This window comes from Homo sapiens, chromosome 7 (genome assembly GCF_000001405.40).
Source record: "Homo sapiens chromosome 7, GRCh38.p14 Primary Assembly".
NCBI classification, from domain to species: domain Eukaryota; kingdom Metazoa; phylum Chordata; class Mammalia; order Primates; family Hominidae; genus Homo; species Homo sapiens.
The window spans coordinates 21,498,783-21,516,200 of NC_000007.14; the positions used below are offsets into that span (position 1 = coordinate 21,498,783).

General features: G+C 39.3%; 1 protein-coding gene across 3 annotated transcripts in view; it reads left to right on the top strand.

The window, feature by feature from the left end:
• SP4 (Sp4 transcription factor) overlaps window positions 1–16,040 on the top strand; it is an 86,740-nt gene extending 70,700 nt beyond the window's left edge. For all 3 annotated transcript variants that reach the window (NM_003112.5, NM_001326543.2, NM_001326542.2), the window contains exon 6: window positions 12,240–16,040. In NM_003112.5, the coding sequence (NP_003103.2) occupies window positions 12,240–12,487 (248 nt within the window). In that variant the 3' untranslated portion in view covers window positions 12,488–16,040. The remainder of the gene's footprint in view (window positions 1–12,239) is intronic.

The following is a 17,418-nucleotide window of genomic DNA, read 5'->3' on the forward strand; positions in this document are numbered from 1 at the left end:
ACTAGAGAAAAGAAATCGTTAGGCCGGGTGCGGTGGCTCACGCCTGTAATCCCAGCACTATGGGAGGCCGAGGCAGGCGGATCATGAGGTCAGGAGATCGAGACCATCCTGGCTAACACGGTGAAACCCTGTCTAAAAAAAAATACAAAAATTAGCTGGGCACAGTGGCGGCCTGTAGTCCCAGCTATTCGGGAGGCTGAGGCAGGAGAATGGCAGGAACCTGAGGGGCAGAGCTTACAGTGAGCCGAGATCACGCCACTGCACTCCAGCCTGGGCGATGGAGCAAGACTCTGTCTCAAAAAAAAAAAAAAAAAAAACTGTTAAGAAAATCATAAGGAAGAAAGAATATATTTACTATTCATTATGTGGAAGTGGGTTTTCATAAAGGTCTTCATCTTTGTATTCAAATTACGTAGGAATTTGAGGAGGAAGAGAAAGGATCGGTCTTACGGTCTCTAAATGCCACACATTTAAAAATGTCCCTTTAGTGGGTTGAATTGTTTCTTCCAAAAAGATATGTTTAAATCCTAATCCTAGTATCTGTGAATGTGACCTTATTTGGAAATAGGGTCTTTGCAGATGAAATGAAGTTAAAATGAAGCCATACTGGATTAGGGTGGGCCCTAAACTCAATAGCTGATGTCCTTATAAGAGGAGAAGACACAGGGGAAAAGTCCAGGCAAAGACAAAGGCAGGGATTGAAGCAGTGCAGCTACAAACCAAGGAATGCCAAGGATTGCCAGCAGTCAGCAGAAGCTAGGGTGAGGCAAGAAAGGACTCTTCTCTAGAGTCCTTGGAGGGAGCAAGGCTGGGCTGAGATCTTAATTTTGGACTTCTGGCCTCCAGAACTGTGAGAAAATAAATTTATGTTGTTTTAAGCCACCCAGTTTGTGGTATTTTCTTATAGAAGCCCGAGGAAACTAATATATTACCTTAATTTGCTCTTGAAATTAATTTTAATTTATAAATATGGAGGTATATTATCAAATGACAAACTTAGAAATAGCATTAGTAATTTAAAAAGTATGTTTCATACATTGTCATAGCTTAGTTTTGAGAGTAGCAATTTGAAAAACAGATTATAGGCAGAACTCTGACAGTTAGATAACTGACTCTTGATAGGTGCTTCAGATACAGAAAGCTTAAAAGATCTGGTTTATTCCACTCATCCATTCCAATCTATCATTCCATTTGAAATCTCAGCAAATTTTTTCCAAGGGAAATTACTGTTAAGAATATTAAAATAGTAAGTAGTCGAATGTAGTTTCTGGAACATTGTATTTAAATCCTTTTAAAAGACTACATTTTCTTAATGTGATAAAGCATGGTATTCTCTTAGATAATCTAGGCAAAAGGAGCATTTTTTTTCCTATACTCAGTTTATTAAAAATTTCTTGGGATACATTGAGATTTTCATGAAGAAATGAAATTTGAAATTTGTTCTTGACGTACTTTGGATATTTGTAATGAAGATGTTTTACATATCTTGAGCCATATATTAGGTCAGCTATAATTTATTGGGCTTTAAATTTTTTATAAGGTTATATCATATGTAACTAGATTAGTTTTCTATTGCTGCCACAACAAATTACCACAAATTTAGCCGCTTAAAATAACACACACTTATTACCTCATAGTTTCTCTAGGTCAGGAGTTCAAGGGGCCTCAGCTGGGTGCTCTGCTCAGTTTCTCACAGAGCCAAAATCAAGGCTTTGGCAGGACTGCATTCCTTACTGAAGACCCTGGGGAGAAACCTGCTTCCAAAGTCGTTTGAATTGTCAGCTAAATTCAGTTCCTTTCTGTTGTAGAATGTAGGTCCTTGTTTCCTTGCCAGCTGGCAGTTGGGAGCCTCCAGTGTTTACACTTGGAGGCTGCCCACACTCCTTCTCATACTGTCCATGTGGCCCCCTCCAGCAACAGCAGGGCACGTTTCCCCTCACTATTCTAATCTCCCTGATTCTAGCTAAAGAAAGCTCTTCGCTTTTAAGAATTCATGTGATTACATTACGCACTACTGGATAATTCAGAATAATATCCCTATATTAAGCTCCATAACTTTAGTTAGATCTGCACAGTCCCTTTTACCATGTTACTTAATGTGGGAAACACACATTCGCCTGTCTGAACCCAAAGACTGCACTTGGAGACACAAAGAACAGCAAAAGCGAGACTTTTAATGGTGGTCTTGCAAGATGGGGCGTATGGTAGGCAGGCACACCCAGGGCAGTTACAGCAGTTAATTTACCTCCTAGCATGCAAATCCCTCCCCTAGTTCCTCATAGGTCGAGTATTACAGGGTTACAATCTTCCCGGACATCATCCAAGTTTCATTATCCCCCTAATAAGGGTGTAATCTTCCCTTCCCTGCTTAAGTTTCGATTTCCCAATAATGAAACTTTCTTCGCTTTTATGGGCTGACCCCTTCTCTACATTCTGTTTGCTCATTGTGACCTTCTAGGTGCGTGAGCCGTGCAGTTTGTTACATCCGCAGGCTGGTTGCCAGTATATTTAGATTTATCATGCCTTGAAAATAGATCATTTAAAACATTTTCTCACAAAGTCCCTCCTCTTTTCTGTTTACTTCCTTCGGTCTCATTTTCATCTAAATCCTTTTTGTCCTTGAATTGCTCTAGAAGTCTTTTACTTTCTCCATAGGAGATTGAGTTTAATTTTGTTTCTAATAGTACCAGGTTATTTTGCTGGTTAAGTCATGGGCATTTGTTTATTAATAGCTGTTTTAATCTCTGTGCTAGTCCCCCCACACAAGGGTTAATACAAAAATCCCACTGCTGTTAAGACTTCTGCCACAATTATGAGAGATGTAAGGATTGAGGGCTACCATGTCTTTCCATTTTCCAAACCAATCTTCTAGCCAACCCATAAATGGGTCATCAATTCCAGCATTTTCTGCCAGTTCATTGGCTAGAGTTGTTGGTCTTCGTAAAGCTTTTCTGATGGTCCCATCTGGGGCAGTATTGTTGGGAATGAAAGTACAACATTTCCCACCCAGCATAACACATACGCCCCCTTTTTCTGCTAGTATCATGTCTAGCGCAAGCCTGTTTTCCCAGGCCATTTGGCTGATGGCATTTAGCTGGCTAGCCACCCCTTTGAGGATGTCCCGAGTATAATCGATGAATCTCTGTTGATTATAATAGATGTAGTTAATCTAGTCCACATTCTTAATAGTTGACCACCAGAAGAGTGCTGACTTAAACCGAGCTGCTATTTGGTTTCGGGCCTTAAATTCATTAGGCACCCCCCCCCCCCCGGAACTCCTATAGAGTTAACATATATATTGGGATCAAAAGATACGTCAAATCTCTCCGGTTTTGGTAGCCGTGTGTATTTTCGGGTATCTTATGGAATACCAGGATGAAGGGAATGGCCAACTGGACTAAAGCACAAGTCCCAGTCCAATTGGACGGTAACAACTTATCATCCTTTTTTCCCACAGTACCACCAGACATCAGCCGTGGTGTATGGAGAGCTGAGTAATTGCCATTGCCTGACTCAACCTGTGATGCTTAGGATGTGGGTACAAGTTGAGAGTTCTCCCATGGGCTTATTGAACTCTGCCCCCTGCCTGGAGAGGCAAGAGGAGTAGTTCATATTCCCTGTAGAGAATGAGGGGTTCTGACCTCTCTCCACAATGCGGGAAAGAGCAATGACAGACTCTTACAAGTCTCATTTTCCCATGCATCCTTGTCTCGGTATAGAGCCAACATGCAACACATTACTTCAGGATCAGTATTCCATCCTAGGGGAAATGGAACCACCCATGCCTGAGGTCCTCCCGCAGCACATGCATAGTAGTTACTCTTGTTGAGGGCTTGTACCAAAAATGTGACCCACTCAACCCAGGCATTCACATCCCCATACCCTCAGTTTTTAAGGTTTGCTTTACATCCTTTACCTCAATTATTTTTAGCCTTTTAGGATCATTATTTGGTGGACTAAAGTGTTTACTAGGGCCTGGGCTTGGAGTAGTACCAGACACTTGGGGGGTTGAGTTTTTGATGAGTTTGAGAATAAATCGCCCTACAGGGTCTTTCCCTGTGATGTCTGCCCCTAACCCATATAACCAAGAGTCTTCCAGAACTGGGGCCAGCCCATGTTTTCTTTTTAGATTTTTCTCAGAGTTAACTTTAAGGGTTCCTTAGGTGACCCATGCACTTTCCACTGGTCTTTTCCCCTCCTTTCCAGGGTCTCCTTTACCAGTCCCTTGACTCGAGTATAGTGAGTCCACCTCATGCAGCTGTTCGCATGGCTGTCTCAGTGGTCAGGAGCACTTGATAGGGACCTTCCCAGCTTGGGTGGAGCTTGTCTTCTTTCCAAGTCTTAATCAGCACCAAGTTACCAGGCTGAAAGTGGTGAGCCATGAACTCAAGAGGTGAAGTTTGAGTTAGAAGTCGTTTTAACCTAAGGGATGACAGGGTGGAGTATATGGCCACTATATAATTTCTTTAAAAATTGATCCTTGGTTTCCATAGCCGGAAGATCTGTAGCTCTGCGCAAATATAGGAGCCCATATAATGACTCGTAGAGGGGCAATCCCAAGTCTTTTATTGGTGCTTGTTCTAATCTAAGGAATGCTATTGGGGGACATTTGGTTCAAGGCATTTTAGTTTTTAAGATTAGTTTGGTGATATGCTTTGTGAGAGTTTGAGTCATTCTTTCTACTTTCCAGAGGAAGGGAGATGCCAAGGGGTGAGATAATCCCATTTAATTTGTAAACCTTCCATAATTCACCTTAACACCCTTGAGGTAAAGTGGCTTCCATTGTCTGAATTAATATTTTCCATCAGTCCAAAGCTAGGTGAATCTGTTTTAATATTATTTTGACCACATTCCCAGCAGTGGCTGTTGGAAGGGGAAAGGCTTCTACCCAGCCTGAAAGGTAATCTACCATCACCAGTAAATACTTTAGTCTTCCTACTTTGGGCATTTCTGTGAAATCTACTTGAATGCTTTGAAGTGGTCTTACTCCGGAGGTCTTCCTGTTTTCTAATCACCTTTTTGTTTATCTTTTGACAAGTTAACACAATTTCCACATGCTTGTTTAGCAAGGGTATAAATCCCTATACACCCATAATTCCTAAGTATTGTATCACACAAAGCCTGGGGTCCCCATTGACTCCATTTGTGTAATGTAGATACTAGTTTTCTCATTAGGGGTTTACTTATTTCAGGAAGTACCCATTTGCCATCTTCAGTCTGAGTGACCCCTGTCCTGTCTAATTCTTCCTCCTCCTCTCTGGTAAACTGGGGCCTTAATACTAGCTTAGGGATGTTTGGGAGCAGGCTACATAGTCTAATTTCTTCGTCCAGGGAGGCTTGCTTAGCAGCTTCATCTGCAAGCCTGTTTCCTGTAGCTTCTATAGTGTTCCCTTTCTGATGACCATTTACATGAACTATGGCTACCTCTGCTGGAAGGAGGAGGCTTTCTAAAACCTGTTTGACCAGTTCCCCAGGTACCAATTATTTTCCCCTGCTATTTATTAGACCCTGCTCTGTCCAGATTTTTTCAAAAGTGTGTTCCAACCCATTAAGCATATTTAGAATCAGTATATATAGTGCCTTCTTTGGCTTTAAGGAGCTTTATGGCCGGGTTAAGACCATATAATTTACAGATTTGGGCTGACCAGCCATTAGGTAATCTACCTTTCTCACATAGGGAGTGTTTATCTCCATCAGTGACAGCATTGCCATCTCTCGTTCGTCACAACTCATCCACAAAGAGCCTTATCCCATCATGTAGTGGAGCTTCCCTAAGGTTTGGTCCTACTTTGGTTTGTTATTCTATGATATCTAAGCAGTTCTGGTCTGATGTCTTTGATCTCCTCTCCTTTCCATAGGAAACTGGCTGCATTTAGGCAAATATTTGTTGTTACAAGCAAATAATTTTTTTTCTTAATAATATGGCTTCATATTTTATGAAGAACGTGTTCAAACTATCTCCCGGCTTTTGGTTTAATATATTCCTGACCTGGTGTGGAGCGCTTACTATTAGGGCCCCAACAAAGGTTAGCTTTCTACTCTCCTACCAGCAGGGCTGTGGCAGCACTGCTTGCACGTATTTGGGCCACCCCTGAGAGACAGGATCGAGAAGCTTGGAGGCAAAAGCAACAGATTCCCTCTTCCCTCCCCAGGTTTGAGTGAGCACCCCAAGGGTGATCCACTGTTACCAACAGATGGAATGGTTTCTCTAAAGATGAGAGGACCAGGACCGGGGCTGTAATGAGGGCCCGCTTTAGCTCTTTTACCACCTGAATTTCCTTTGAGGACAATTGCAAGGGATTGGGTTCTTCTTTTAGTAACTTGATATATAGAGTCTTTGTCTTTTGATCATATGAGTCAATCCATAACCTATAGTAGCCAGTTAAATCTAAAAATTTTTGGAGTTCTCTTTTTGTCTTAGGCAAAGGCAGACCCACTATTCCCAGTATTCTCTCTGGGTTTATTCTTCACATCCCTTCACTAATCAGGTGTCCTAAATATTTAACTTCTTTTTCTGCAAACTGCAGTTTGTTCTTAGATACTCGCAATCCCCTTTCTCCTAGGAAATTAAGCTTGTGGTGGTTTCTGATACCTCGGTCCTCCTCTCCCCAGAAATTAAAAGATTATCTATGTATTGTAACAACTGGGTTCCCCTGGAAGGTTGAAATTCCTCCAGGACTTTTTCTAAGATTTGACCAAATACGTTTGGGGCTTCTGTGAAACCTTGTGGCAGCACAGTCCAGGGGTACTGTTGTTTTCTCCTAGTTATAGCATCTTCCCATTCAAAGGCAAAGAGGTTCCCTAATCCTAAAGTCTAGGGGACATGCCCAGAATGCATCATTTGGATCCACCACATTGAACCACTTACGTTCATAGGGTATCTTACTAAAGAGGGTGTAGTGTTTAGTCACCACAGGGTGGTAGGTCTGGACAGTTTGATTTATAGCCCTTAGATCTTGTAGCAATCTATACAACCCATCAGGCTCTTTGGGAGAATTGGAGTATTGTAACATGCAGGGTTTTAATTGTCCATCGTTAATCAATCCCTCTATTACCAGTTGGAGACCTTTTCTCCCTTCAGTGGAAATGGGATATTGTTCTCTGCAAACTACTTCTGGTTGTTTTAGGTTAATCTGTAAGGGTGTGATTTTTAACCCTCTGTTGCCTTCCCTAACCCTCACAAGGGGATTTAATTTTTCTTTCCTCCTCCTCTGTCAGGAGGCCCATCATTACTTTTATTTGTCCTTCCTCTATTCCTAATCCTAAACCCAATCTCACAATCAGGTCTCGACACAGGAGGTTAGTTCCTACTTCAGGAACAAGTGACGCCTCAATTTGTTTTGCTCCTGATGTAATTAAAATTTTCTTAAATATTGGAACCTGAAATCCCTCCCCTTTTACCCCTGATACTTTCAATTTTTCCTTAGAGAGTTCTGTAGCCCTTGGTTGGTGAATTAGGGAGGAGTGAGCTGCCCCAGTATCAACCAAAAATGTCACTTCTCCCTCAGGTCCCACCTTCAAATTTATTAAGGGTTCCTGGTGGGATCTACTCAGAAGGTGCTCCTGCCCCCGACTAGTCTTCATCAATAGTCATGAGGGGTATCACCTTTTCTTTTTTCCATTTAGGACATCCTCTCTTCAAATGCCCTGTCTTTCCACACTTGTAACATCCACTCATAGTCTTAGGACCTTTTCCCTGCATTTCCCTTCTTTCTTTGTGTTGAAATCTATAATTCCCTTGTCTCCTAAGTGGGGGATCTTGATGTAAGTCTTTTCTGACTACCTCTTCCACAGTGGAAACCATGATTTTTGCTTTTTGTTTCTGCTTCTCTTCCTTTCTCCTTACAAAGACCCTCTGAGTTTGCCTCAGTAAATCCTCAGTTGGTTTCTCTTTCCATCCATCAATCTTTTGTAATTTTTTGGTAATGTCAGGCCAGCTCTTAATTACAAAGTTAACCTTCAAAAGGCATTGCCCTACTGGGTCCTCTAGATCTAATCCGGAGCATTTTCTCATCTGATCTCTGAGCCTATATAGGAATGCAGAAGGAGTTTCCTCTTTTTCTTGTTGAATCGTGAATGTGTCCTATGTCCTACGAGTGGACTCCTTGATCCCTTTAATTATTAGTTCCTGGAGATCCTACATTTGGGCGCAGTCCCTGGGATCATTATTATCCCATTCAGGATTAACATTTGGAAATTTTTGTTTGGCTGGTGAGACTTCTTGCCTGGGAGGGTGTTGCCTCTCCCAGATGGTCATGTCCACTCTCCTGATCATTCCCCTTTCTCTTCCTATGAATAGGATATTCTTGATGGACATCATTTCAGCCCAGGTGTAAGAGCTGTATCCTAGGAATTGGTCCAGATGGTCTGCTAAACCGAGTGGATCTTCTAGGAGTGGTTTCATTTTTTTCCTGAAATTCCTAATTTCAATACTTGCAAGAGGAGCATTTACAAAGCCAGTCTCTCCCTGTCCCATGGGAACTCCCCTAAGAGGGAACATGCTAGGTGCCTGCTGTGTGGAAGGAATAGGGAAGTTCTCAATATCCCTCTTACAGTGTTCTTTTCTTAAATTTGGATAAGGATTTAGAGGAGCAGTTGGTTTGGCTCCGCCATGGTGTCCAGGTCTTTCCTCCTCTAACCCTCCTGCTGCCCCTTGATTTTCCTGTCCCCTATTTTGTGAGATGTATGGAGGGGCATGGATGATAGGGTCCCAGGGCTTTTCCCTGGGTGAGGGATTTTTACTAGGCTCTTTTTCTTCTTCTTTAAGTGGGAATATGGGGCTAATTCCTTGATCCAGCAGAGAGCATAACCTGTCTCTTGTGAGGTTGGGGTTTTATTATTCACATAGAGAATTAAAGCTTGGCACACCTAATTTTTATCTGAGCCAAACTTAGGCCATAGGACTATGCTGGTAAATGTCAGAGGGAGTCTCTTTGGCTCCCTCTTTCCCTTGTCCCCTAGGCCTAGAATTTCTGTTTCCCATTTTTGGTCAGTCTGTGTCTGAGCTTTTCCCTGTGTTCTCAGCACCCCCTACTGGAGGTTTCTTGCACACCCATGGAATCACTTCATCCATTCTCTGGCCATTCTTTGTCCATTCTCCTCACGGGAGAACGGAACCATGGATTGGGACTCTGCACTTGCTTCATATCTAGGGTACATCTCAGTCACACACACTCAACCTCTGAAAATGCCCAACCACCAAGACAGTACTTACAGTCCAATTTTCCTCCCTTGGCTTCTGCACGAGGTTGCCTGGTTGCTGCAGTGCCTGCTTTTCTCCCTGTGTCGCCTCTGCTGCCTCCTGAATAACAGTCTCAGGTTTGTCTGTGGCTTCTGTGGGGAGCCAGGATGCCCGGACAGAGTGGGCCACCCAAATCGGGTGGGACACCTCTGCCCTCTCGGCTGGAGTCCCACTCCATGCAGGCACAGAGATCCCAGACAGGCCCCCAGGTTTGTGAGAAACACAGATTCACCTGTCCAAACCCAAAGAATGGACTTGGAGACACAAACAATGGAAGCGAGACTTTTAATGGTGGTCTTGCAAGATGGAGTGTCTGGTAGGCAGGCACACCCGGGGCAGTTACAGCAGGTAATTTATTTCCTAGCATCCAAATCTCACTGCAACCTCCACCCCGCCTGGTTCAAGCGATTCTCCTGCCTCAGCCTCCCAAGTAGCTGGGATTACAGGCGTGCATCACCACGCCCAGCTACTTTTTTTGTATTTTTAGTAGAGACAGGGTTTCACCATGTTGGCCAGGCTGGTCTCAAACTCCTGACCTCAGGGTCCACCCACCTCAGCCTCCTAAAGTGCTGGGATTACAGGTGTGAGCCACCGCGCCCAGCCTAAATACAGTTTGTTTGTTTTTTTAAGTAGGCCACTGCCTCCACCTTTGTACAGAGAAATCCCAGGTTCCTCCTGTCAGAACCTAGCTAGACCCTGGAATAAGATACCAAGACCAGGCTTGCCAACTGTGGCTTGGCATAGAGTTTGTGTTTGACCTGGGGTCAGGGCCTTGTCTACACACTTTTTTTTTTTTTTTTTTTTTTTGAGACAAGGCCGTGCTCTGTCATCCAGGCTAGAGTGCAGTGGCTCACTGTAGCCTCAACATTTGCATTACATGTTGATTTATATAATTAATGGATGGTGTTGCTTATTATCGATTGATTGTGAATCTGGCCACGACAAATTTATTCTAATTGTTTATTTTCTCAGATTATTTATGTAAATAGTAATAACTGTAAATAATAATCTATTTCAATTTTTTTCTTCCAGTGATTGTACCTCAGTTCATTTTACTGTCTTATATGTTGGCTTCGTCAGAATGTTTCATATTATGTTGAAAATAGTAATGATATATATAATAGCATTCTTATCTTGTTCCTGATGTATAAAGTAATAGTTCAGAAGTTTCTCCATTAATTATATGTAGGGGTATAGCAGGTAAAAGAAATAAATTTTTATTCCTGGTTTGCCAAGAGCTCTTATCAAAATGTGTTAAATTTTATCACACTGTTTTTATGCTTCTGTTGACCTTTTTTTTCTCTCCTTTAACTTTATGGAATCTTAAGTCATACAAAGTATTTTATTTTTGTGTAGTCAGATTTGTCTATTCTCTCTTTTATAGTTTCTAAATAACCTGTTGTACTTTTTAAAGTACCTTCAAACTCTAGGTTATAGAAATATTTTCCTTTTTTTTTAATACTTGGTTTTAAATCTTTGTAGCATGTATCTTGGTGTGTGGTATGACATGGAGGTGCATCTTCTTTGTGTTACTTCAGATGGATGTTTAATACAATATTGTATTGAGTGCAGTGCTCCTGTAAGTTTTAATATTTGTTTGTAACAATAATAAGGAAGACTAATGGTTTTTTCAAAGTTTACTCAAAAGTAAAAGCACACACGTAAAGAAAAAGAGAATGTAAAGAAAAAGAGAGAATATCTGACGTGGACCAACTTGAGCCTATAGATTTTTTTTATTGGTAAGTCAAAAGCAGGGCCAAGAAAAGAAATTATCCAAATTGAATTTTCTCATTATATTAGTCTGTTTTCATGCTGCTGATAAAGACATACCTAGACTGGGCAATTTACAAAAGAAAGAGGTTTAATTGGACTTACAGTTCCACATGGCTGGGGAGGCCTCACAATCATGGTGGAGGGCAAAGAGGAGCAAATCACATCTCGTGTGGATGGTGGCAGGCAAAGAGAGAATAAGGAAGACACAAAAGCAGAAATCCCTGATAAAACTATCGTATCTTGTGAGGCTTATTCTCAAGAACAGTATGGGGAACCCACCCCCATTATTCAGTTATCTCCCACTGGGTCCCTCCCACAACATGTGGGAATTATGGGAGCACAATTCAAGATGAGATTTGGATGAGGACACAGAGCCAAACCCTATCACTTATTACCCAAGTTTTATCAGACTGGGAAAACAACATTTCAGTCCCTTAAGTAACAATTTTAGAGGGAAGATCTACGGCTAACAGTTATTCATTGTGCACATCAGGATAAACCAGTTAACCAAATTTTGATATGCCTCATTTATTATACACAAAAACAAAAAGGCCTTTTTGTTTTTAGTTAACATTAAACTAGCTTTTATTCCAAAACAAAGAAGTCGGTCCAGTAAAACTATCTTATATTTTGAAGAAAACATATTTAAGAATTGCTTTGGACAACAGAAACTGTTATCTTATGAAACCTAAAAACTTTATTAAATTCTGAATGTAGCATGTGCCTGCCTCCCATTTTTGCCTTGTAAAGAACTCAGTATGCTATTAAATTATTAACTTAGTTTATTTGAAATAGTTCCAAGATATTTCATGCCTCCAAGATTAAAACTAAAACCCAGGTTAGCAGTTTTGAAGAAGAGTGGACATGAGCCTTGAACATTATATATATTTGTTACATCTGATAGAGATATTTTAAATTGTCTGCTAAAAACCCTCTTGCTTTGTAGATGGGAAAACTGAGAGTTCCAGTGGCTATTTACTTGCTCCAGCTTTTATTTCCAGTTCATAGCAGAAGCAGGACTTAAACTTCAGGTCTTTTCGTCTCAATCACATGGTCTTTCTCTTTGCATTGTGTATTTGATAACGTTTTTAAATAAAACAAAGCATTTTGCAACTAGTGAAACTGTACAAAAAGTCATATAATGTGACCAGAAGGGAGATTATTAAAAATTATAATTTCACTTAAGCAAAATGTGTATAACGCCATTTACTGTTTTTCTATGTAGGTGAAAAGAGATTTGAATGCCCGGAATGTTCTAAAAGGTTTATGCGGAGTGATCATCTCTCCAAACATGTCAAAACGCACCAGAATAAAAAAGGTGGTGGGACAGCTCTTGCCATTGTTACCTCGGGAGAACTGGACTCATCTGTTACAGAGGTGCTTGGCTCCCCAAGAATTGTCACAGTTGCAGCCATTTCTCAAGATTCGAATCCAGCAACTCCCAATGTTTCAACCAACATGGAAGAATTCTGAAAAGTTATTTATAACAGAGACCTCTAGTGCTGCACTTGTTTACACACCTTTGAAAATCTGGAAATGGGCTGGTCAAGTGGATTACAGAGTAGGAAATTATGTTTTCATTCTTGGCTTCTTTAAGTATTCCAGGGTTTGGGGTCAACACGTGAAGTGTTGAATTTTAAAAAATACAAAAAGCAGACTGATGTACTGGAAACAGAAAAGTATTTCCTCCATACTATAAGTTGTAGTTGTTTGGAAATATATCACATAACCTTTATACAGAATCTTCCCATCTCTTAATATCATGTGTTAACATGTTTAAAAAGACCTTAGTAGTTTGCAGGCTGGACCTTAATTGGACTTATTTTCTTTGAAAGTACTTTGTTATAAATTCAGTCAGTAATAATTTACGTGTATTCTTTTTCTCTATAGCACAGAAAACAGATAGTTAACTGATGATAGGGATAATACTGTATTTCCTTAGCTTGATTTTTGGAAAATCAACCGAAAATAGTTTGGCCGTCTTTTCTAAATGTTAGAAATTCTTCAACAGTTGAATTAGGTAAGTTCCAAAACAGTAATCTGAGATGCATCTCAGATCTTTATTACCACTACATTATAGTAGTGTGTATGCAGACAATCAGTGAAGTCCAATTACTTTCTCCATTTGGAGACACAAGAGGAACATAGAGTTAAATCTTAGGTTAAATTTTAGGTTGACACCTTAGGAAAATGCTGGGAAAAAAATGGTTAAAACAAAACTCATCATAGCTTCAGAAAAATAAAATGAGGCATCTTAACATGCAATGTTCTAAAGTTAGGATTGATTATATTCCTAACCCTAGGTTGAACCACAAAATTTCATTTAAAATGTTTATATTTGGAAATATTTGCATAGAGTGTAAATTGTTCTGTAGTTTCATATTTTGTAAATATGAGTTATGTTGACAATGTGCAGAATTCTTTATGCTTTGATGTGGTAGCCAAAGAAAGAATTACACTTTTTTCCAAGGCCAGCAGAAAATTCTCTTTTAACTACATTGTAATTCTTGTTTTCCTCTACTAAAAATTGGCCAGTCCCATTTTATTTCTAGTGCTATGTAAGAAGGTAATTAGGAATTATAACACAGTAATGTTTTTATGTTACATCAATAACTGAATTTTCCCTAAAAATTAGCCTAATATATAATAGATATATTATGAAGCAAAACTTTTATTTTTGAAAAGGCAGAATAATTTTCAGTGAAGTAAGTGACTAAAGAAAAAAACTATATTATTGTTTATGCAAGGGTCTTACAGGAAAGGGTCTTTTTTTTTTTTTTTTTGAGATGGAGTCTCGCTCTCTTGCCCAGGCTGGAGTGCAATGGCACGATCTCAGCTTACTGCAACCGCCGCCTCCCAGGTTCAAGCGATTCTCCTGTCTTAGCCTCCTGAGTAGCTGGGATTAACAGGCGCCTGCCACCATGCCTGGCTAATTTTTGTATTTTTAGTAGAGACAGGGTTTCGCCATGTTGGCCAGGCTGGTTTCAAACTCCTGACCTCAGGTGATCTGCCCACCTCGGCCTCCCAGAGTGCTGGGATTACAGGCATGAGCCACCATGCCCGGCTAGGAAAGGGTCTTACTAGGAAAGATGGCCAAAAGTTTCATATGAAAAAAATTGGATTATAAACCAGTAACTTAAATATTAATAAGGATATTTTATGTTTTAAAAAAGTATTTACACAGAATCATAATCAGTGAAATTGACCATTTGAAAACTAAAAGTTTTTACCTACCTGCTCAATTTATTAACATCATTGCTTTGGGGACTGTTTGAATATAGGTACGTGTTTTCTTGTGCATTCTCTATAATTTCAGGAAAAGTACTAATGCGAATTCTCTTCCAAAATTGTGATGTTTCTTGTATTTTTGATGAAGGAGAAATACTGTAATGATCACTGTTTACACTATGTACACTTTAGGCCAGCCCTTTGTAGCGTTATATAAAACTGAAGGTCTTTTGTGCTTTCAGTTTGTATAAAAAAGCTTTGAGATTAAAGGAAAAAAAAAATTTTTACACTGTGGTTATAAATTTCAAGTTTCTTAAAGCTTTTGTAGACTTGTAACAGAGTCTTTAAATTTAAGTTGGATTTTGTAAATTGTTTTGTATATTTTATTTAATGTACTCTTAACAACTGATGTATCTGGCTTTAAAACATCAGAATTGGTTTGTTGTTTTGTTTGGTACAGAGGAGCATTTGGTAGTGTTCATTTTAATTTTATTATATAGGAGCTGAAACATCAAATATATATTTTATCTATCATTATGCTACACAATCAGTGCTATAAATTTTTTTATGCAAAGAAACTTTCTTAATGTTTTAATCATGTTTCCTCAGAGTGACACTTTTTGTTGTTGTTAATACCAAGTATGAACACTCTGCATCATTATTCCATGAACCAGTTCTAATGCAAACCTATGTATGTCCATTAGAAATGGAAGTTATTTTTTAATCAACAATGAGGCCTATTATAAATTTATCAGATGAATCTAGATAGCTTTATAGCATATAAAATATGTTAATTTGTGTTAGCAGGTGCACATTTCACCACTGAAATTAGAAATATTTTGACAGTCTGTTCTGCATACCATTCTGAGTCTACTTTTCTGTCTTTAGAAGAATCGTAAATTTCAGTGTCCTTTATTTGACTCAGTGGGATATAGCTGTTATAAGTAATAGGGCACAGATGTGCAGTAGAGTCTTGTTTAATGGCATTTCACTGTTCATTCCCTTTACCACCGTTATAAAACTTTTCTTTATTGTAATTATCAGTGCAAAGCTATGTATTTATCATGGTAAAACTCCAGTGTTAGAATAGTTTTTTCTTACAGTATACTTTCTTTGGTTAGGTTTGTGTATGTGTTGCTGATTACATTAGAACTTGATGTTAAGTCATTTATCACACTCTCATGAGAGCAGTAATAAAAGTGTGTAATCTAGGAGAAAAAGTTAATTTGTCAAACTTAGATAAGCATGATGTTTAGGTCCTATTTTTCAATTTTATAACTGTTTTATTGCAACAATATTTGTATTTAAGTCTCCATTTTAATGCCTTGTGGTGTTTTTTTATGCATGTCACTAAGTTGTCATCCCACATAAATTGATGTGCAGCATAGGGTATTAAATCTACATAATGATTTTAAAACAGAAATAGTTGATGGTAAAATGTAAATGTTTTGCAAAAATTCCTTATAAAAAGTTTTGTAGTAACATTTCACTTGTAAATTTTTTTTGTAAAAAAAAAAAAATGAAAAAAAAAGATGAATCCAGAAAAAAACCTGTTTCCCATATTCTAGAATTTAGACAATTATTCTGCCAGCAAAGCCTCTGGGGCTGTAATTGACATTTTTACAGTGCTGATTTGTATAAAATTTGTTTTTTGTGGATTTGGAAATAAAATCATGTACAAGTTGTTGCCTGCAATAACAATTGCAAGTAACCTATTAAAAATTCCCTTGAGTTTAACATGTTTCATTTAATTATGTATACTATAAAGCAGCAATAAATTATTTGAACTATCAACCTACTTATCATGAACACTGGAGAGTTAAATGCTTCTCACTGGAGAACACATTGGCCACCGTTCGTAATTCCTCGTATTGAGATCTGGTCACCATTTCTCTGAACATACCGCCAAAGAACTCCAATTCAAATTGCATGTTAATTTGTAGCCATTGCTCTAGACATTTATGGAAATTAAAATTTGATTTAGAGACACTTTTTACTTAAATATTTTAAGCAATCAATGTTAGGAAATTATAGGAAGACCTGAAAACGAAAAACATAATTAAAATATTATTTAAGCTCACAGAATCACTGAGAAGCAATATAGGCCACATAGATGCCACAAAGACTACAAGCAGAAACTGTCTTCCTCCTGGGAGAGCCCTGCAAATCTCATGAAGACCTTTAGTAACATAATGAATACATTATTGTAACAACTTCAGCTAACACATTTCCAGACTCACACCAGATATAGACATAGCAAAGCGAGGGTTTGGCCCAGGGTGGCGGAGGTAGGATGTTAGGCAGCAAGAGAAGTACGCTGGCCCACTGACAGAAGACTCCAAAGACTCTAGGTTTTAGGTAGTAAGCAGGGGCTACAAGGTGTTTGGACAGAGAACCTTGTACAGCAAGGTCCTAAAGGCATAGTTGTGTTACAACTTTGTAAAATAATGTGTTCATAACACTGACTGAATCAAAGAATTTATGCTACTCTGTCAAATAAGACAGTAAGGAATTGTCAAAGGATGTTTTCTATCCAAAGTAAAGATACACTTCAATTACCTGAAAAATTCGCATTAGAAAGCATCAGGATGATATCGTATAAAAGGGGATAATGCAGGCCAGGCGAGGTGGCTCACGCCTGTAACCCCGGAGCTTTGGGAGGCTGAGGTGGGTGGATCACGAGGTCAGGAGTTCAAGACCAGCCTGGCCAACATGGTGAAACCCCATCTCTACTAAAAATACAAAAATTAGCCGGGCGTGGTGGCGTGCGCCTGTAGTCCCAGCTACTCGGGAGGCTGAGGCAGAATTGCTTGAACCCAGGAGGTGGAGTTTGCAGTGAGCTGAGATCACGCCACTGCACTCCAGCCTCGGCAACAGAGCGAGTCTCTTGTCTCAAAAAAAAGGATAATGCAATTAGAAAATGTCATTGTGTTTTTCAATTTTTAATATAGTTTGCTTCTTGTACTTCTAGAAATTTCAGCCACATGAAAAAGACAATAATAAAGAAAAAGGGATAAATCACCTTGAAAATTGACAAAAGCTGTTGGTGTAGTAAGTTAGGAAAGCTGAAGCAGTGCTAAAAGCAATACTAATAGGGTGTGGTTTACAATGCCATTGGTAATGACAACTTGAAAATAGAAAAATATACAGTATTGTTTATTTTTTAATTAAAAGTT